Source organism: Homo sapiens, chromosome 6 (assembly GCF_000001405.40).
Source record: "Homo sapiens chromosome 6, GRCh38.p14 Primary Assembly".
NCBI lineage: Eukaryota > Metazoa > Chordata > Mammalia > Primates > Hominidae > Homo > Homo sapiens.
This window is the reverse complement of record NC_000006.12, coordinates 41,548,768-41,568,341: the sequence shown is the minus strand read 5'-3', so window position 1 is coordinate 41,568,341 and position 19,574 is coordinate 41,548,768. Positions and strand designations below refer to the sequence as shown.

Below are 19,574 nucleotides of genomic sequence, written 5' to 3'. Positions count from 1 at the left end.
TGTCTCATCTGTGAAACTGGAATAATAATATCCACCTTGCAGGGATGGTGAGATAACAACACAGCATATGTGAAGACCCCAAAGCACCAGAGACGAAAGGCATTGGTTTGTCCTCTAAGTCCTTTCAGGTTGAGGTTGAGAAGGAGCAGGAACCCAAAGGGCCAGGCTCTCTTTCCCATACTTGTTTATCCTACAAGTAGGAACATTTGTTGTTGGGGACCAGAAAATGTTACCCTTGAAGCTCCCCCAAAAGCCTCGTTCACACATTCAGGGCAGAGGAATAGCCCATGGACTATTTCATTTTAATTGGAAATCTTGTAATTTTAATTTTGCAAGGTTCTTTTCATAGTTTGGAGCCAACAAAACCTTTTTTAAGTCTCAAATATGTTCCTTGGCCCTGGGCACTCTGCCCATAGTGAGCCCAAATGGATAAAACAGCCCTCTGCCTGCCTCCAACTCCCCACCCCAGTTTATTTGTGAAACAGATATAGGATTTTCCAGGACTGTGGGATATTCCCCAAAACAAACAGGAATAACTGGAATGTGGAATATAGATGGGAAAACATGGCTCATGTGCAACGCAGAACCAAGAAACCTGATCAGTACAGACAGTTCTGTCTTTCCCCACCCTAAACATTTCCCCAGTTATCCAGAGAACTGTGTCCGTTCTTCATTTTCAGAAATTTTTTAAAAGAAACTTTCCAGTTTCAGTACTCCCCAACCCCTACATTTAAAATTCTTCATAACTCTGTCTGCACAGTCACAGAGATGGAAGAGCTGGCCATATAAAATGGGTGGCCTTGGAGATTTCTGGTGGGGTGTGTTTTGCTATTATGTTGGTAAAGGTTAGGATATTGCCCTTTAACCTTCTGTCCCCAGCAAATGGCACAGACTCTGTGGGTCTCTTCCCCAGAGAACGTGCTTAGGAAGGCTTGGGAGATGCCAGCAAACTCCTGAAGAATATCTCCCTAGGGAAGGGAGTCAGGCCCTTCCCTGCTCCAGTCTCCACTGCTGGCAAGAGAAAGTGATTTTTGAAGTCCTCTGTTCCACTCACATCCACATCAACAAATGAGCTGCATGTGTTGCACACCCAAATTGCACCTGATCCTAACAACTCTGTACTTTAGGTGCCAAGGAGGCCAGGGCTCAGGCAGGCTCATGACTTGGTCAAGGTCATGCCACTGGTTAATGGGCTGGCTGGGACTTAAACCAGGTTTCTTCCATTCCTGCTTTAGCGCTGGCTGACCAGCTCTGTGCAGGGGAGTCAGGCTTCTGATGGTGTTGCTTCCAGTCTGACTTCTGGCTCCAAGGAATATGATGGGAAAAGGCCCCTTAAGGGTTATGAAGTTGGGCTGTGGGAGAAGGAGTGCAGAGTCCCAGGGTGAACTTGGGAGAGACAGCAGGGCCATGGAGGAGCACATGAGGGTACTGTGGTACACACACGTGTGCACGCATGAGGCAGGAGTGGGCTACTGAGCAGGGAGGTACACACAGAGCCCTGCTTCTCCATGTTCCTAGCATACCCCGCCCCCTGCCCCACTCAAGGGCCGGCACCACCAGCAGTGATTCCAGGAGCAGAGTCAAATCAGAGAAAGAGAATCCCAAGGCCAGGGCTGTTGGCTGGGAAGGTTCTCCTCAACTTGTTGAGCATGACTCTCCCTTTTTCCCCAGGTGGGACCAGGACATGAGACCCCTGCTCTGTCATCACCCAACCAGATCTAGACCCATCCTAGTGCCTCTAGATCCTCAGAGAGGTTGGTCTTAAACTCCCGAACTCTGCACTTTAGGGTGGAAGAGGAAATATAAGACACAGACAGGGATTCCCAGTTTGAGCCCTAAAAATGGAGGCCTGTCTTTGCTTACCTCTCTTGGCCTTTACCCAGCTGCCTGGGCCTCTCTTCACTGCTGGAAATGGAGGCCCAAGCTGACTCGGAGGCAGATAATGTTTTGCAACAGAAATAATGTGAAGATCCCCCTGTGTGCACAGCACCCTCTTAACCCTGTTCATTTAGCCAGTTTCCTAGCCAGTGTGCAGGTGAAGAGTGGAGTGCCCACCAATCCAACATGCCAATCTCAAGCCTGCTGCCCAGTTGTGTGTCTGTCTCTTCTTATTGGCATTTCTGGGACAGTTTCAAGCTTCATGATCTCAGACCTCCGAGTCCCACTTCTATCTCTTGAAAATGCTGTGGTAGCCTAGGCTCAAGGTGGCCACCAGAATGGGTGGGTGGACAGGGAGTCCTTGGAGGCTGGACTGTCTTAAGAATGGTAAAGTGAGGCTGCCTGGCAGGGAGTGGTGCTCCAGCAGCCAGGATGAAGTGGAATGCAGCCTAGTGCCCCTCTCCCGCTCCCAGATACCCCAAGGCGCACCAGTTCCTACCTGTTGCTGCTGGAAGTGCAGCAGCTCTGCGGGACTCATCTCACCATTGCTGTCTGCACCCGTGGTCACTTCCCTGCCCGTGCCACTTGCAGTTGTCCCTGTGGCCCCGCCGCTGCTGCCATCGGCTTGCCCAGAGAGGCTGCCCACGCCATTCTGACCAGATGGAGCCGACCTGATTGTCTCCGAGGCAGATTCCACCATCATGTCGCTCTAGCGGTACCTGGAGGAGGAAGAGAGACACAGGGGAGAGGCTGAGGCTGAAGGCTGAAAGGGCAGTGACTGCTGACCCCCAAAAACATAACCATCGCCACAGGAGTAGCTGGGCATCTACTTCTCCTCAACTTCCCAGAGGCTGCTCCTGGGATGCCTGATGGAATGTGGCTCCTCCCGATGTCCCCCCAGGTGAGGGGTGGCTCCACACCCCCAACCATGTTTTCTTGACTTCTAGGAGACCTCGTGCTGGGGTGGGGAAGGGAGGAGACAAAGCCCTTGCACTGCCCCTCTGGGTGAGGATTTTTTGCCCCAGTTGAGGTTTTGCACTGTTTATAATAATGACATGAAGAAGGGCTATTTTAGGTTTTTTGTTTGTTTGTTTGTTTGTTTTTGAGACACAGTCTCGCTCTATTGCCCAGGCTAGAGTGCAGTGGTGCGATCTCGGCTCACTGCAGCCTCCGCCTCCCGAGTTTGAGCGATTCTTCTACCTCAGCCTCCTGAGTAGCTAGGATTACAGGTGCCTGCCACCACGACCAGCTAAATTTTTGTGTGTGTATTTTTAGTAGAGAAGGGGTTTCACCATGTCGGCCAGGCTGGTCTCGAACTCCTGACCTCAGGTGATCTGCCTGCCTCAGCCTCCCAAAATGCTGCGATTATAGGCATGAGCCACAGTGCCTAGCCCCCGTCTGGGTCTTAAACCTACACCAACAAAGCAAAGACAAAAGTTATTCACTAGGAACCTATCATATTATTGCCTTCCTACCCCCACCTGAAATGGACTTTGTGTTTGCTCCCATCCCAGGGCAAATGACCTTCCCCAGGCCACAGAAGGTCCAAAGCAACAATTATTCTTCCATAAAAAAGGCTGCCACTTGCCCAGCACCTACTGGGAGCCAGACACTGGGCTTCGTCATGGAGGTGTGCAGTGAAGGAAGCCCTGGTTCCACCTTCCATCTTCCATTTTAAAGCCCTCAGCCTAGCACCTGGTCAAAAGTAGACACTCAGTAAGGTTAACTCACTCTCCATAGGAACCATGATTTCTCCTCATGAGAACTGTGGGAGAGAGTTATCACGCCAATTTTACAGATGGAAAAACCGAAGGTCCAGAGAGTTAGGTTACATACCCAAGGCAAAGAGTCAAGGTCTGGATCCCCTGACCCCAGAAATGCCTCTCAAGGAGTGGCTGAAACATCCCCCTAGAAAGAGAGGGTATGTGTTTGGGATGGTCAGGACAGTAAGGAGGAGGTGGAGGCCTAAGCTTCTTCTTATAACTCATAGAGGTTCCAATAGCTTTTAAAATTTAATTTAATTAATTTATTCATTTTATCTTTTTGAGACAGAGTCTCGCTCTGTCACCCAGGCCAGAGTGCAGTGGCACAATCTCGGCTCCCTGCAACCTCCGTCTCCCGGGTTCAAGCAATTATCCTGTCTCAGCCTCCCAAGTAGCTGGTACTACAGGCACGCAACACCATTAGTAGAGATGTTAGCCAGGCTGGTCTCGAACTCCTGGCCTCAACTGATCCACTTGCCTCGGCCTCCGAAAGTGCTGGGATTATAGGCATGAACCACTGCACCTGACAAGGTTCCAATATCTTTAGTATGAAAAGCTGTTCTAAAATTCTGGGGGCTCCCCAACTACCCCCGAGTCACAGTCCCTTGAGAGGAACATGGATTTCAGTCAAACAGGTCAGACCATGGTTGGCATCCACTACTGATTTTTGATCCATCTTAAACTCCCCAACCCTCAGATTCCTTGTCTGTGGTAGGACAATGTTTCTTGGCACCTATGGGGGATTGGTTCCAGGATCCCTGTGGATACCATAATTTCCAGATGCTCAAGCCTCCCAGTTTGTCCTGCAGGACCTATGGATACAAAAGTTGGCCCTCCCTATCTGTGGGTCCTGCACACTGCAAATACTGTACAGTATTTTCCATCTGTGGTGGATTGAATCCACGGATGTGGAACCTGCGGATAAAGAGAGCCAAGTATATTTCATCCCAGCCTCCAAGTCTTTTGAGGAGAAAATAAACATGCACATGGCACCTGACAGAGCAAGCCCCCAATATTGATCAGCGCCTTCTCCACCCACCATAATTGTAAGGGTGAGGACATTGAGACCCAAAGAGGTCAAGGACTTGGCCCAGATTGCACAGAGATCATCGAGGGATAGAAGCCACATGAGCATTTAGCAAGGCCCGTGGAAGCCAGCCAGTTTCTTTCCTCCCAATTCGATCTCTTTTGGCCTAGGCACACCCTATAACCACACGGTCTCCCTGACCCGACTGACAGATGAGGGCCTTGTAGGTAACAATGAGAAACTGCGGAAAGAGACTGGACTGTGATTTCTCTAGTTCCTTCCCCAAGGCAGCAGCTCCCCAAAGCATTTCCCTCCCACTCCCAAATTCTCTCCTTTCACTCCAGAAGAACTCTTCTCCCTCACTCTACCAAGCCATTTGCTCAGCTTTCATCCTGGCTGGAAGCAGAGTCGGGAGGAGATAGAGAACAGCAAGGGGTCCACAGAAGCCACATCCCTGTTCCTGTGGCCCCTCTTCATCTGTGACTCTGGGTGTCACTGTCCCAGTAAGTCTGAGTGGCCTCCTGGGTGCCCTGTATTTGTGAATTTCTCTGTATGTTCCCAAGGGCTTGCTCTTCCCCCAACCCAGCCACTGCTCCACTCCTAAGTTCTGAGAGGAGCTGGGCTGGAGTAAGGGCAGGATGGGAGTGATGGTTCGGAAGAGATTGAGCACTCGGTCTCAGGCCTTAATGGCCATGTCAGCCTGAGGGCTAGTGGCGGTGAAATGATGGATGGGGTGGGCACCATCCTCCACTTGCCACAGCACAGGGCTCCATCACCCTCCCCTGAAACCACCCAGCCAGCAGCACCTTCCCCCACTTGGGCCTGGGCCTCAGTTACATGAGGGGGATGGGGAGACAGGAGGGAGGGGGGCCTCTCCCCCAACCCTGGCTCTGCTGGTGGTGGAAAGCAGCTGCCTGCTCTGATTCCAAGTCTAGCTTCTCTGAGATCTGAGAACTCCTGGGCCCCAAGGGACAAAGACCAGAGCCTCAGGGGTGTATGCATGCAAAGGAGAAAGGAAAGAGAATCTGGCAGTTACTTCCCTGGGGTTAGGGAGAGTGGCCCCCTTCCAACACTCAAGGAGTATCATAAAGTTGCAGATCAGACAGTAAGTTTGGAAAAAGAGAAAGAAGGAAGGAGGAGGATGCAGACAGAGGTGCTCCTTTCTTTTCTTTTTATGGGGGGGGCATACAGAGTAACACCCAGTGAACAACATAATTGCTGCAATGTGGTGTATAATAATAGCTATTCAGGGGCCGATCATTCATATTAAACAGGGTGAAGCAAGCCTCTCATTTGCATGCTTGAGATTATATGCATTTGAAAAGTCATTTCCGCAGGGTGTGTGAATGGCATTAATTCCCATGTGGCATGCTCTGCCCCCTCCAGGGTCTTTACCCCACTGACACACACCCATACACCTCCTTCCATGCTCCCGCCCACCTAACAACATACCCCCCAAACCTGCATGACAGGCACTCCGAAGTGCTTTCTGAATTCTCACCTCTGCCCTGGGATACCTGCCCGCCAAGGATGAGCACACCAGCAGCCTCATGTCTCCTGCCCACCTCTCCACAGGGCGCCGCGACAGCACCGGTGTGCTCCCTGCACTGTGGGTGAGCAGGCTCTGGGTGCCTGGGACCCAGTCAGCTAAAGACAGGATGGGGAAGGGTGCTGGCGGGAGGCCTTGATTATCAGTCCCCTGTAACTACAAGGGTGTGGGGTATGGAGGAGAAGTCAGTGTCCACAGGAGCCTGAACCCTGGCTAGGGGAGCAGGCAGGGGCCTGGGCTCAGCCACACACCATTGTGAATCCTCTGCCTTCCCTTTTCTCTGAGCCTCTACTTCCCTGTCTCTATACAAATAGGTGGTCCTGAAGGTCTCTTCTCACTCTCAGTCTGGCATGTGGACATGAAACCACAGTACTTAAGTGAATACTGGTAGGCACTGATGGTCGGTCTGCTGGAGTCACAGCCGGGTCCCTTTCACAGTGGACTCCACCCAGTGTAGATCTGAGCTGCTTCCTCTGGTAATGAGGGGCAAGCTCCAAGAGGTCCTCCTTTCTTCTCTACACACCCCTATCTTCCCAATCCATGCTCCTCCCCCAGCCACCAAGGTCCTCAGCAAGGAGCAGCTGAACACCTGCGGAACAGGAAGGCAGAGGCTCTGAGAATTAGACCATCTGGTTTCTAGGCTCAGCTGTGTGACCTTGGGCAAGTCACTGGGGTGCTCTTTCTGCCTCCATACAATAAGGTAGGGATTGGCCAGGGGTCTAAGGTTCGCTAATACTGGGCTCTTATCCCCCACCCCAGACTTTCCATATGCCTCTCCTACCACATGTTGGGGGCAAATGGGAGATAGCACCGGAGGCCGAGTTATTTTGGCAGGTCCAGGATTTGTCTGAGGCTCAGGTCCTGCACTTAGGCAGGACCTAGTGGCCCAACCCTCAGCATTCCCCGTGGGGGAGCCAGGGCACCTCGGAGCCTATGTCAGGCCTAGAGGCTCCTGCAGATGCCGTCGGAAGGAAGCTGGGTCAAAGCCGCGGCTGCCTCTTCCGCTCTGAGGCAGTCTGCGGGCCGCTGGGGGCTCCCACTTCCCCGGAGGCTCCTGGCTCTTCAAAGAACCTGGGCGGGCGAGTGCGCAACGAGGGACGCCCTTGGAACTCGCCGGAGACCGCCCCATCCCCTCCCTGGCCGGAAGTGACGAGTTCCACCTACCTTGGGGCCAAAGGGGGGACCCACGGGCTGGGGTGCTTTTGTGGAAGGAGAAAAGAGAAGGGGAACCCCACATGCGGAGAAACCTTTTGTGCCTTTTCACGGGCCCATATGGCGTAGCGAGTATTAATTACCGTCGCTTTTTAATTAACAATCGCTTAATCTGAGCCGTAACATTTGCCATGACACCCTGCGCCTCGCCGCGAACCCGCACCGCCCGCCCTGCCAACTCATCAATTAATTTTTATTGACGTTTTCTTCCCCCAAACAGGCACAATACCAGGGTTTTCCAATTAACACCTCTGCGATCTCTAATTAGTGCAATTAACAGACTGATGGATGCCCGGAGTTTACCCGCGGGGGAGGGAGAGAGGGGCGGGGCAGCCCCCAGCGCGCTCCTGGGCGCGCGTCCTGCCGGGAGCACACGTGCACGCGCAGCTGGAGTGGAGATGAGGCCCCAGTTCTTAAGGGAGACACGGGTGGGGAACGACCACAGGTAGCCCGTACCCAGAGCAATGGTGGCGGTTGGAATTTAAATAAGATATCGTTTCCAGTTCTCCAGAAACCTATAATATAGTCTGGGAGACAGCAGGACGTGGCCCAGCTGACAGCCTGACCCTGTAAGTTGGTGTCTAGCCCCAGCGCTAACACCAATTTACTACTGAATGACTTGTTTTTTTCAGAGTGGTGGTGGTGCGGGGGAGAGTCTCACTTTGTTGCCCAGGCTGGTTTCCAACTCCTGGGCTCAAGTGATCCTCCCTCCTCAGTCTCCCAAAGTGCTGGGATTACTGGCCTGAGACACTGCACCTGGCCTACTAGAGTGACTTGGAGCAAGTTGATTCTCCTCTTTTCTTCTCTGTATAATGGGGAGAACTGGACTAGATGTAGCCATCTCTTTTATAATTTATAATTCCAACAAAGATTAGGAAGCAGATTGCAATAAGAGGTAAGATTTCTTAAAATACAATAGCACGGAGTAGAAGATGAGAATGACGGACCACAACGTTAAATCAGGGGGTTGCAGACCTGAGTGCATCAAAGTTACCTTGGAGAGTTTGTTAAAACACAGATTACTGGGCCCCAACAGAAGTTGCTAACCCAACAGGTCTGGAGTGGGCCTGGGAATCTGTATTTCTAAGAAGTTCCTAGGTGATGCTGATGGTGGTTGTCCCAGGCAATGGGGCTCCAATGATGAACACTAACTTTAGTTATGAGTTTCCTGCTGGGCAAAACTAGATGATATATCTGCAAAAGCCATTCAATCATTCAACATGTATTTAGGGCCCCATTAAGCTAAGCACTGGGGATCTACCTGAAGGAAAGTGAAATGTGGACGCTACTGAACAAGGCAGTGCAGCAGTGTCCTTAGATGCTCTGAGAGCTGCAGGTAAAGGACTCAGCAAGGGCGACTGGTAATAATGGAGGTCCTAGCCCCTTCTCTTTTTTTTCTAGATAAACCTGGCACTTGTTTTTCCTCAAAACAAGTTTCCTAAAAACCAGTGGGGCTTTAGCCATGAACAAAGTCATGCTTCTCTCTCCTCCAGTGGTTGGCCAGGAGCATGTTTCACCAGCAATGACCCTTCATCCATTCATTGGTGCGACCAATGTTTAAGTACCTACAGTGTGCCAGGCTCTGTGTATGCAGACTCCAGCAGAGCAGGACACAGGCTTGCTCTTGTGAAGCTTATGTTCCCATGAAGAGTGTACAAATGTTAACTAAATACACAAGTAAATGGAGAAGCCCAAGTCAGATACATTCTATCAAGTGTGAGTACAGGAAATAAATGGGGATCTAAGGTAAGTGGAGAGGGGCAGGGAAAGCCTCCTTTTGCCAGGAAAGGGCATTTATGCTTAGATATGAAGGCTGAGTAGGTACTGGCCAGGCAAAGTATACAATGAATGCAGGGCAAAGAACATACGCAAAGGCCTTTATTTTACAAAAGAAGGGTCGTCGGTTTCAGACTTTTCCAGAATGAAAAACCTTTGAAATACATACATTTCTAGATTATATAAAAAGATACACATGTGGATACCAGAGCACAAGGATGTCTTCTAGTTCCTTCTTTCTCTATTTGTTTGTTTCTAGCTATCCTGCTATATCTTACTTGTGTCAAGAGATATAAAACAGAGGGCTTTTCAGAGCAACGAGCCCTGGCCCTACAAGTAACTGCAGGATGCTTCCCAATCCAAAGTCCCAGGGACCAGCCTCCCCCATTCAGCCCTGGCCCCAGAGGCCCACTGGCTTCTGGCTTCAGGCTCCAGGTAAGGGGAGGGCTTCAGGGCAGTGGCCACTTTGGGCCTCTGGCTTACTTAGCCAGCCACTCATTTGCCAGATGAACTGCTAACCCTTCCTGGCCTCTTACTACCTTTGTGACATTGAGGAATGAGGTCACCAGTCTGAGCCCTGGTTTCCTTATCTGTAATGTGGGGCCAATGCCAGTACACCTTCCTTCCAGGGTTGCAGTGGTATCAAATAAGACACACTGCATGAGGAAGATGTTTAGAGAAGGGTAGTGACTATAATTACAGGAGTCCAGAAAGTCTTGCTACAACCCACCTGAGTGGGCTATGGTTTAAAAATTGATCCCACCCCCCTCTCCCAGCCCTTGGTTCAGCACTTGAAGAAAGTGAGTCAAGACCCATGGGTTAAAATGTGGCTATAGCTCCAGAATAGGTCCTGAAGCCAGAGGTGGGTGATGTGAGTCACGCACTGCTTGGCTCCCTGATCGTGCCAGCAGTTTCTCTCCCCAAACACATGGGGCTCTGTGAGTTCGAGAGTAGGCTTAATCCCTCTCCAAGCCCCTGCCCTCCTTGGGCACTCCTCATTGTGTGGGTCAGAGGCTGGCACGCTGGACTTCCCTCTGTACCCCCATCTCTGCCTGAGTTCCTGGCCTGGGAGTCTCCCTCAATGACTGTGACATCCTAGAAGCTGCCTACCCCAACTCTAGGGACCATTCAAGGCTTCTTAGCACAACACTTGGGTGCTCGGAGGAGATCAGTACAAGTGGCAGGGCAAAGACATTCCTATCTGAAAGGCTCCACCAAAGCCTTCGATTTGTAAGGTGAATCTGCCGTCCTGTGCTGTCTGTTCCAGGTCCTCTCCCAAGTTCCAAATAACTTTATTTCTGAATCCTAAAAGTAAGAGACATCCTGGTAGAAAATTTTGAAAAAAAGAAAAAAAAATAGAGTACTCATAATCCTACCCTACAGAGATCTAGCCCTTTGGGATATATAGCCTTTCTGGTCAATCCATTCTCACTCTCTTTTGGCATATAAACATTTAAAAAGTGAAATTTGGGTCATAATCTATACATGGTTTCAATTTTCGTCTTTTTCCACTCACCACTTACTATCATAAGCATTTCCACATGCTGTCAAATATTTTAAGCAACAGTTTCTAATGGTCACACAGTTGCTTGAATGGGCCGCATGTTCCAGAATGTATTGAGCCAATCCCCTAGAGTTGGACATCTAGGCTGTTAGCTATGTTTTACTATGACTCTGCAGTAAATGGGAACAGGATACTCTATGGGAACAGGATACTCTACATTTTTGACTAGTTGCATAGGATACATGTTTAGAAGGTGGAACTGCATATTTTTAAGGTTCTTGATATATTCATTCCCAAACTGATGCCCATAAAATTCATACCAATTTTGCCCAGTTCTTCTTTAGCAAGCAGTCACATCTCATAAGACTCTCGGGCCCTAACCTCTTTAGTGATTTCCCTCAATTCTCCTCAGCTCCTTCTCCAGGAGATTCTCAGAGCCTGAATAAGGCATTTGCAACTCAACACTACAGGCCCTGTCGAATCTGGGTGAGTTCCCTAAGGTCAGAGTGGGGTAGGGAGCCTTCACCTGCAGCTGATACTGAGCACAGTGGGCACTGGGGTTGGGGCAAATGGAGGTGAGCAAAACGTAATCCTTGCTTTTGCCGGGCTTGAAATGGAGAGAGGAGAAAGACTAATGGGCAGGTAAGTTTTCCTTCTGAACATCGGAATCATCTGGGGAGCTTTAAAAAACCAACCAACCCATACCTATGGCACACCCTAAGTCAATTAAATCGCACTCTTCAGGGAACTGGACCCAGGCGTGGATATTTTAAAAAGCTTTCCAAGCATTCTAAATTCCCAGTGCAGCCAGGATTGAGAACTTCTGTCTTACACAACACACACAGCTTTACAAATGTTATGTTAGACACTGGGGACCATGGAGCCTGGAGGGAGTAAGGGGTGCTCTGGGAAGGCTTTCTGTAGGAGGTGGCTTCTGAGCTGAGCCATGACGCAGCAAGGCCTCGGCACACAATTTGTGAATATATTTTATTGTTAAAAACCATTCGCTTGCCGGGCGCGGTGGCTCACACCTGTAATCCCAGCACTCTGGGAGGCCAAGGCGGGCAGATCACAAGGTCAGGAGATCGAGACCATCCTGGCTAACATGGTGAAACCCTATCTCTACTAAAAATACAAAAAATTAGCTGGGCGTGTTGGCGGGCGCCTGTAAGTCCCAGCTACTCAGGAGACTGAGGCAGGAGAATGGTGTGAACCTGGGAGGTGGAGCTTGCAGTGAGCCAAGATGACGCCACTGCACTCCAGCCTGGGCAACAGAGCGAGACTCCATTTCAAAAAAAAAAAAAAAACATTCACAGAGTCCCCAAGAGTGCTTTCCTATAGCCCCTCCCTCCTCTCTCCCCCATGCAATTTTGCGCTCATTTTGACAGAGGATGGAACCACACTTCAAAGATGCCAAAGACTTGACAAGGTTACCTGACTGCTAAGTGACTGAGCCAAACTGAAACCAGGTGGCTCTCCTGACTCCTAAACCAGTGCTCCTCCCCGCGTCCTAACTCCCCGAGTCACTCTGGAATCCAAGCCTTCCCTTACCCCTACCACCACCCTCCACCTTACCTTTTACTGGCTCCATCCCTGAAACGCTCCCACAGGCCCTGGCAAGGTGGCCTCCCTCAATACCCCTTCCTACTACACAGACCAAAAAAAAGAATTAACAATACAGGGGGAAAAAAAGAAAGAGAACCAAAGATCCCACTCCATCTCATTAAGAAAGTAAACATAAGAGCCATCTAAGTGTCTAATTAAGCTTCTAATTAGTCCCTGCTTGTTACTAATGCAAATTAGATTACTCCGCTTAACTACAGCATGTCCACAACACCCTTGTTAATTGCGGCCTTTTGAAATTAAATTACTCCCTAATTAGCATATCAAAGCCATTGATTCGGAGCTGGGAAAGATGAGGGCAAGAGGAGCCGAATGCCAAGTTTGGTTAATCAGAGACGGCTAATTAAATAGTGACGTCTTATGTGGGGGGCCTGCTGGTTAAGGGGTAGGGGCAATTCGCCCAGGGCCTGAATGGCCATCTGGAGCCTGGTTCTGGTGGTGCCTTTGGCACCAGGGTTTCCTTTGGGCACAGGAGGGGCTCTAGAGGGCCTGGGACAAACCACTGAGTATGGCCATTTCTGGGCCCCTGGCTGTTCTGCCCAGCCTGCCCCGACATGCCTTGGCCCCTCCCTTCATTTCCTCAGATGTAGGGGGCAAGTGATGACTTTATCATAGAGGGGCTCACCCTGGCAGGGATGCGCTGATTTCATCTTGAAACAGGCCCCCGGAGACACAAGGCCTTATGGTACAAAGACCTAACCTCTGTGGTAGAAAGAAGGCAAAAAGAATCACCCACAACCATCAGTTCTTTTTTTTTTTGAGACAGGGTCTCACTCTGTGTCGCTCAGACTGGAGTGCAGTAGCGCGATCTCGGCTCACTCACTGCAACCTTTCCTCCTTGGCTTAAGTGATCCTCTGGTCTCAGCCTCCCGAGTAGCTGGGACTACAGTCACATGCCACCACACCCTAATTTTTGTATTTTTTGTAGAGAGGGGGTTTCACCATATTGCCCAGGCTGGTCTCAAACTGAGCTCAACTGATCCTCCCACTTTGGCCTCCCAAGTGCTGGGATTACAGGCATGAGCCACTGCGCCCATCCCACCATCAGTTATTAAGTAGCTGTGTGGGAATTAGATTTGGGTCAGGGTGTCCTTATAGGTCCTCTCTCTGAGATCTTCTTGTACAGACCCTGCAGTCTTTTTTTTTTTTGGAGGCAGAGTCTCATTCTGTCGCCCAGGCTAGAGTGCAGTGGCACAATCTCGGCTCACTGCAACCTCCGCCTCCCGGGTTCAAGCAATTCTCCTGCCTCAGCCTCCTGAGTAGCTGGGACTACAGGTGCCTGCCACCACGCCCGGCTAACTTTTGTATTTTTAGTAGAGATGGGGTTTCGCCATGTTGGCCAGGATGGTCTTGAACCACTGACCTCAGGTGATTCACCTGCCTTGGCCTCCCAAAGTGCTGGGACTACAGGCATGAGCCACTGTGCCTGGCTAGACCCTGCAGAGTCCTTCAGACACTGTCCCACACTAGATTCTCCTTGAGGAATACTGGGGACAGGTGAATCTCCATGTCAAAGCTGCTAACCAAAATGCCTTCAGGGGCTAGGCTGGTCACTTAGGAGGCCAGGTGAGGAGGGCACGAGGAGGCAGCTGCCACTCAATCCCAGTCCATCCTTTCCACACAGAAATGCAGGCTCAGTGTTGACAGGGCTTGGGTTTTTCAAAAGGAGCAGAAGTGGGGATATTTATGTGAAATTTACCATTGTAATGAACTGTGTGTGGGTCAACAAAACTCAGCAGGGATGAAGTTAGTCCACTTGTGACCTCAGCCCTTATGGCCAGCATTTCAGAAAGGCAAGTTCCAGTTAACTGTGACTCGGGGCAAGTCAGGTAACCTCTCTGGGCCTGGGTACTTCACCTATCAAATGAGAGTGATAATTACCACTGCCTGGAGAATCTTTCAGGGTTGTTGTGGGGATAAGAACAAGGAGGTATGTGAAACGGCAAAGCACAGTTCCTCAGTCAGGGCCTGGTGACTACCTAGCTCTACCTGCCACAACAACCTCCCAGGTTTCCTAATAGGGATGTCCTATTAGAACTTCCTTCCCCCATCTTCCATGCAGGGGGCAGAGCAAGGGCTTCCAAGTGTCCTTGAAAATGCTGAGGGCTTGTTCCTGCAGATATCTGACCTGACTGTTGGGAGGCTTGGAGGTACCACACACCTATGCCCTCTGCCCTGTGTTTTAATGGATCAGTTCTGGCAGGGGCAGCAGCTTCTGAATGACAAAATCCTGAGGGTTAAAAGGTCCCTAGCTTGGTCCTTCTCTACCTCCTCTGTCCCCAACTAGGGTGCAGTCTGTTCCCAGCTCTTCCTCCCTCCCCTAGTCCTCCTAAGTTTCTCACCAGAAGCCCCTGGAGCACACAGGATCACGGCCAAATTCCCAAAGGGTGAGATTCTGTTTACTTAAGGAGAGATCAGACAGGGTCCAGGGGAGGGGAAGTCCTCCTGCCCCCACCTCTGAAAGGGCAAATCCCAGCCAGTACCCAGTCCATGGGTATCCATCCAAGCCAAACTGGGCAAAGGGGCACAGAGCAGTGGTTTTATTTTAGAAAATAAGTGCAATTAAAAGAAAGGCAGAAAAAAAGGAATGGGGGAGGAGAAGGCTGCCCTGGTGTGAGGGGGAGGGGGGATGGCGGCACACAAGGGCCAAGCTGAAGCTCGCCTCACCTCGCGGAGCTCTCTCTCCCAACGAGATTCAATTAATTGATAACATGAGGCATCAAATTAATTTCTGGAGAATGTGAGATTCTGATGAAGGGAAATCTCGTCGATGGGGATCGGGTGGGAGGGGGCAGGCAGCACCCCTTTTAATCAGGCTCCACTGCCTAATTGGGAAGGAGGAGACTTGCATGGGTCATAGTGTCCTCTGCCCCGAGCTCCACAGCACCCCTTTCAAGAAGGACCCATGGAAGTAGGCTCCCGATGCCCTTGGAACAAAGAGGGTGTACGTTGAGACCTTCAGGTCTCTTCTTGCCTGGCTCCCAACCCACAGCTTCAGGATGGTGAGCCCGAGGATGTGGGGCTGCAGGTGTCCTCTTCACCCACTGTACAGTTAGGAAAACTGAGGCCCAGAGAGAAGACGGGTCATGCCTAAGGCCGAAGAGTGAGTTAGGAAGTTGGCAGCAGTGGGCTTACCGGGGACCCTCATCATGTACCCGTGTGGGTACAGACTGTTTAGGCCTAGACCCACAAAATCATCTCTGAGCACAATCGGTGGGCAGCTTTCTCTGTGGCTAAACACTGCCATGCTGCCTGAGCCGTCCCCTCTTCCAGTGTTTCCGGATCCCCAGCTGCCGGCCCGAGCTAGCCCAGCTGCAGTTCTTTTCTCTGCGTCTGGTGAGTGCCGAAAACCCCTTGTGTTATATCCCTGTGCTCAGGTCTCAGACATGCAGGAGCTTCCAGCAACTGGAACTGATGCGCTCAGTTAAAAAGGTAAAAACTCACTGAGGGAACAATCCAAAGCGAGCGCTCAGCTGGGGAGGGGAAACAGGTAGCTCTGGCTCTCTGGGAAAGAAAGCTCAGAGGCTTCCTGAAGGAGGGATTCTCTCAGTGGACCAACTCTACACCCTCAGCATGGCCTGACCATCCAGCTTCTCCAGCTCCCATCCAGAGACGCAGCCTCAAAAAGCCTGGCGCTTTGCTCCCTGAGTGCTTACAGCCGCAGCCTCTCGCTGGGTCTCCCACAAATCCTGATGTTTCATATCTCCCCAAAACTCTCCCTAGTGTACCCCTTCCTTCCAGGATGCGGATGTGCATCTGCAGGGGAACCCCAAAGGAAAGGAGGAAGTACACCGCCACCCTCTTTTGAAGCAACTTCTTTAGGCCTGGGTCTCCATAGAAATGTTCTCCTAGAAACGTAAAGCCAGCCGGGAATGGAATCCAAGGAAGCCCCGCTGAGGAGATGAGAACGGAAGCTACCCCAACCTCCCACCCCCTGGTTTCATTTCACACGGGGAGGCCCTCCTAAGGGCTCTCTGGGTGGCACACATGTCCTGTCTCAGCTGGGGGTTTCAGGACCCACGCTGGCTCAGGTGGCCAGTGCCCACAGATCTGTGCTCCGGCCCTTGTTCTATTTCTGATTTTCCAAGTTGCATGTGAGCCACCCCTTCTCCGGGTCCCTCCTGCTGCCCTTCACCAGCCTGGCCTCCAGCACACAGTAGGCGCTCCACAGTGTGTTCGTAGGATGGATACAACTACTGAGTCCCTGGCTCCATTCCCTAAGCCACCCTACCTTCAAGTCGCCATCATTTTGCCACCCCTTTGCTGCTACTTGAGTAACTTCTGCTCCCACCAGTCCTGCCTACCTTGAACAAATGCCGGATGGTCTCTATTCTACATACTGTTAGTCTGAGGAAAACCCACTATGTCGCCCCATTTTCCATTTACATGGTAGCCTGGGTCACAGACCATCAGAACTGCAGCAGGAAAGGAAACACCATTTACCTCTATCTTGCACTATCAACTGGCTCCACCCACCATCAGGCCTGGCTGTGGAGGCTCCAGTTGGCCAGAGCATGGGGCCCAGGGAGGTGGGCAGAGCAGCTGGGATTCAGGGAACAGGCGGCTGTATGGCTACCATCCAGACAGGAGAGAAGGAAGGTGCAGGGCTGTGCCAGAGGGACAGCCGGGAAAAGACCCTGATCTCAAGAGGGATCCTGGGACCAGGATCAAGGCAAGGAGGGCATTCGCCAGGCCCAGGCATGTCCAGCCCGGGCGACACACCACAGCAACAGTGACTCCACGGTCCAACACCTGCGGCCCTGTCCAGATGTGTACCTTTTGTGCCAGGAGCTCTTGTTTTCTAGATCAGGCAGGTGTGCCCTGCGTCCAGGCTCTGCAAGGGCCCAGGAGCAACATCTCACAAGACCACAGCATCCAAAGTGGCAGAATTCAGAGGAAAGAGGGTTCCCGCTGTGATCCCGGCTTGGTGGAACTGGCAGTGGACTGAAGGTGTGTATTTCCACAGAGAATCCTGGGAGGCAACGCTGAAGGGAGCCAATAACTTCAGGCTCAAGGGGAGTTTCCTTTTGCTTCTTTGAGATGATCCATTCAGTGATAGGTCCCAAACTGGTCTGAGACTTGCTGCCAAAATCTTCCATAAGGACGTGTAGGCTAGGGTTTCCAAACCCTAGAAATCTCCCTTTCTGGAGAGAGGGGTTATCAGTCATTTTTCCTCCTCTGCATTCTGGGGAATTCTCTCTCCCATTTATGTGTGTCTCACAAGAACCTTAGGAGTGCCTGGGGAATGCTCCAGGGTTGTGTGCAGGTGGAAACACCAGATTCTGCACCTACAGTCCCCCTCTCCACTTAAAGGGAAAAGAGAAAGTATTCACACTAGAAGGCAGGCGGCCTAGGCCAAGCTTATGGAGGAAGGAGGGAGGAATGGCAGCTCCTCCCATCCCTTCCTTTCTCCCTTCACCACAGCACACGCTCAAGCCCTACTGGTTATACTGGGAGTCGAGGGCCCCATATTTTAGTTCCAGCTGTGCTACCATGTAGCTGTGTAACCTTGGACAAGTTGCCTCTTCTCTCTGGACTTCGTTTTCCCAACCCATAAAATGAAGATTAATACTTCAGTATTTCCATATTCAACCAACATGTGGCCTGGCAGTGCTAGCAAATTAATAATAAACGCCATCCCTTGATCAGTACTACCATGCACCCGGCACCGTGCAAGGTACTTGACATCTGCTCTCTCATCTAACTCCCAAACAGAATCTCTAAGGTGGGTATTATGACCTACTTTACAATGTAAGAAAATTGAGGTTCGAAGAGCTTAATTAAGTTCTCCAGAGTCCCATCTCTAATGCCAAGTTCCAAAGCCTTTTCCACTCTGACACATGTTCTGCCCTGGGGAGGCCTCAGTTCCTTGCTCTGGGTTCCAGAGTTCTGGAACCAAATCTGAGGAGGTCATTCCAGCCAACGGAGCCTGAGAGTCCTGTCAAAAATAGTACCTGCCCTGCCTTGGTCTAGGGAAGCTGGAGCGTGGTAAGATCTGTGAGAAGGGAAACTGTGAGGAGTTTCTTGGATGGAAGAAATTATTATTTCACACAGTTTAGGCTATTCAAAAAATAAAGACATTGTGCCTGCTTAGGATGGGACTGGGGGGCTTGCACTGTGGCTGGAGAGACAGGAAACCGCCAAGGCAGTGGGGTAGGAAGGGTTAAGATGCAGGGAAGGCTTCCTGGGGAGACAACCCTTCCCTCCCCTTGCACCTCACAACTCTCCTCTGAAACAGACACCCTGTTCCCATTCTTCTCCCCTCCACCCTCCCCCCCACCATGTGATATCTGTCTCTCCTACCCCAACAATCTGAGGTCCAGACAGCAGACCCCAGCCTTCACTGCTTGGGTACCCCAGTACTCAGCCTGGGACCTGCCCAGGCAGAGTAGGGGCTCAGCAAACATTTGGGGGAATTACTGGATCAAAAGCAAGCCTTCCTCTCCCAGTCCCTCTGCTTCCCTCCCACCAAGGAAGAGGTATGTTTGGGGTAGGGGCCCAGCAGGATATGCACATTCCTGGCAAGAAGGGACCTACCTGCCTACAGCCAGAACGGAAGTTTTCGGCTCTAAAGGCAGAGGAAGGGGGCTGGGGGCGTCTAGGTGTGAGGAAGATCCCTACACAGAAAGGGACAGGAGCAGGTCCCTTTGCAAGTGGGACCCTTTGCAAATGCTCTGGCCCTGGCGTTCTCCAGCACTGGGGTCAGGTCTTTCTCTCTCCAGGGCTCAGGGGTTCCCCAACTCCGTAACTCCTGGGAAACCTGTCCAGGACAGGGAGAAGGACAGAAAACTCCACCCAGGCGCCCAGCCCTTGGTGCCAGGAGAGAAGGCTCCCATGGTCTCCCAAACTTAGTAGCAAGGCTGGAGCCAGGATAAAGTGGGTCCTGAGGGTCCCGTCCCGCAGGAGAGATTCAGCGCTCACCCTGGCCCTGGGTGTGGAGGCTGAGAGGGGGCAACCACAAAACCACCTCTTCCCCTTGCCACCTTGCCCCACTGACTAGAGTGTGAGTGACTCCCCCAACTCACAGTTTTTTGAGTTTCAGATCGAAAGGGCACCATGGGAGCCAACAAGCTGTCCAGGTACCAAGAGCAGAGCCCCAGTATCCTCCCTCCAGCCACCAGGTAACAGAGCCCCAAAACCCCGAGGCAAAAGTTTCTCAAGTTGAAAAAAAAAAAAAAAAAAAAAGGCCTTCAGACTTCCCCACAGCGGTTTTCCGCGGGGGCGGGCAGAGGTTTTCTGAGG

The 19,574-nt window shown here is 51.3% G+C and overlaps 1 protein-coding gene across 15 annotated transcripts in view, besides 6 other annotated features; it reads right to left on the bottom strand.

Moving 5' to 3' along the window:
* FOXP4 (forkhead box P4) overlaps positions 1-19,574 on the bottom strand; it is a 56,004-nt gene that overhangs the window by 34,043 nt on the left and 2,387 nt on the right. For 14 of the 15 annotated variants that reach the window (XR_926052.4, XR_926053.3, XM_011514289.3 and 11 more), the window contains exon 2: positions 2,378-2,597. Coding sequence is in view for 13 of the 15 variants with exons in the window: in XM_011514289.3 (XP_011512591.1) it covers positions 2,378-2,581 (204 nt within the window). In the remaining 2 variants the exon portion in view is untranslated. Of the gene's footprint in view, positions 1-2,377; positions 2,598-17,108; positions 19,496-19,574 lie in introns of those variants that run through there. The other variant, XM_017010233.2, reaches the window with a different exon arrangement.
* Positions 4,553-5,493: an enhancer, noted in NCBI's record as "NANOG-H3K27ac-H3K4me1 hESC enhancer chr6:41530587-41531527 (GRCh37/hg19 assembly coordinates)". NCBI's record gives its function as "activates a minimal SCP1, AML or CMV promoter by ChIP-STARR-seq in primed H9 embryonic stem cells {active_cell/tissue: H9 hESC(primed)}" and the evidence as "EXISTENCE:reporter gene assay evidence [ECO:0000049][PMID:30033119]".
* Positions 5,494-6,436: an enhancer, noted in NCBI's record as "NANOG-H3K27ac-H3K4me1 hESC enhancer chr6:41529644-41530586 (GRCh37/hg19 assembly coordinates)". NCBI's record gives its function as "activates a minimal SCP1, AML or CMV promoter by ChIP-STARR-seq in naive H9 embryonic stem cells {active_cell/tissue: H9 hESC(naive)}" and the evidence as "EXISTENCE:reporter gene assay evidence [ECO:0000049][PMID:30033119]".
* Positions 7,379-8,321: an enhancer, noted in NCBI's record as "H3K4me1 hESC enhancer chr6:41527759-41528701 (GRCh37/hg19 assembly coordinates)". NCBI's record gives its function as "activates a minimal SCP1, AML or CMV promoter by ChIP-STARR-seq in naive H9 embryonic stem cells {active_cell/tissue: H9 hESC(naive)}" and the evidence as "EXISTENCE:reporter gene assay evidence [ECO:0000049][PMID:30033119]".
* Positions 7,597-7,646: an enhancer, noted in NCBI's record as "active region_24513". NCBI's record gives its function as "activates an Ori minimal core promoter by ATAC-STARR-seq in GM12878 lymphoblastoid cells {active_cell/tissue: GM12878}" and the evidence as "EXISTENCE:reporter gene assay evidence [ECO:0000049][PMID:35858748]".
* Positions 12,211-13,211: an enhancer, noted in NCBI's record as "OCT4-NANOG-H3K4me1 hESC enhancer chr6:41522869-41523869 (GRCh37/hg19 assembly coordinates)". NCBI's record gives its function as "activates a minimal SCP1, AML or CMV promoter by ChIP-STARR-seq in naive H9 embryonic stem cells {active_cell/tissue: H9 hESC(naive)}" and the evidence as "EXISTENCE:reporter gene assay evidence [ECO:0000049][PMID:30033119]".
* Positions 12,403-12,856: an enhancer, noted in NCBI's record as "VISTA enhancer hs281". NCBI's record gives its function as "enhancer in: midbrain (mesencephalon)[4/11] | forebrain[7/11]" and the evidence as "EXISTENCE:transgenic organism evidence [ECO:0001131][PMID:17130149]".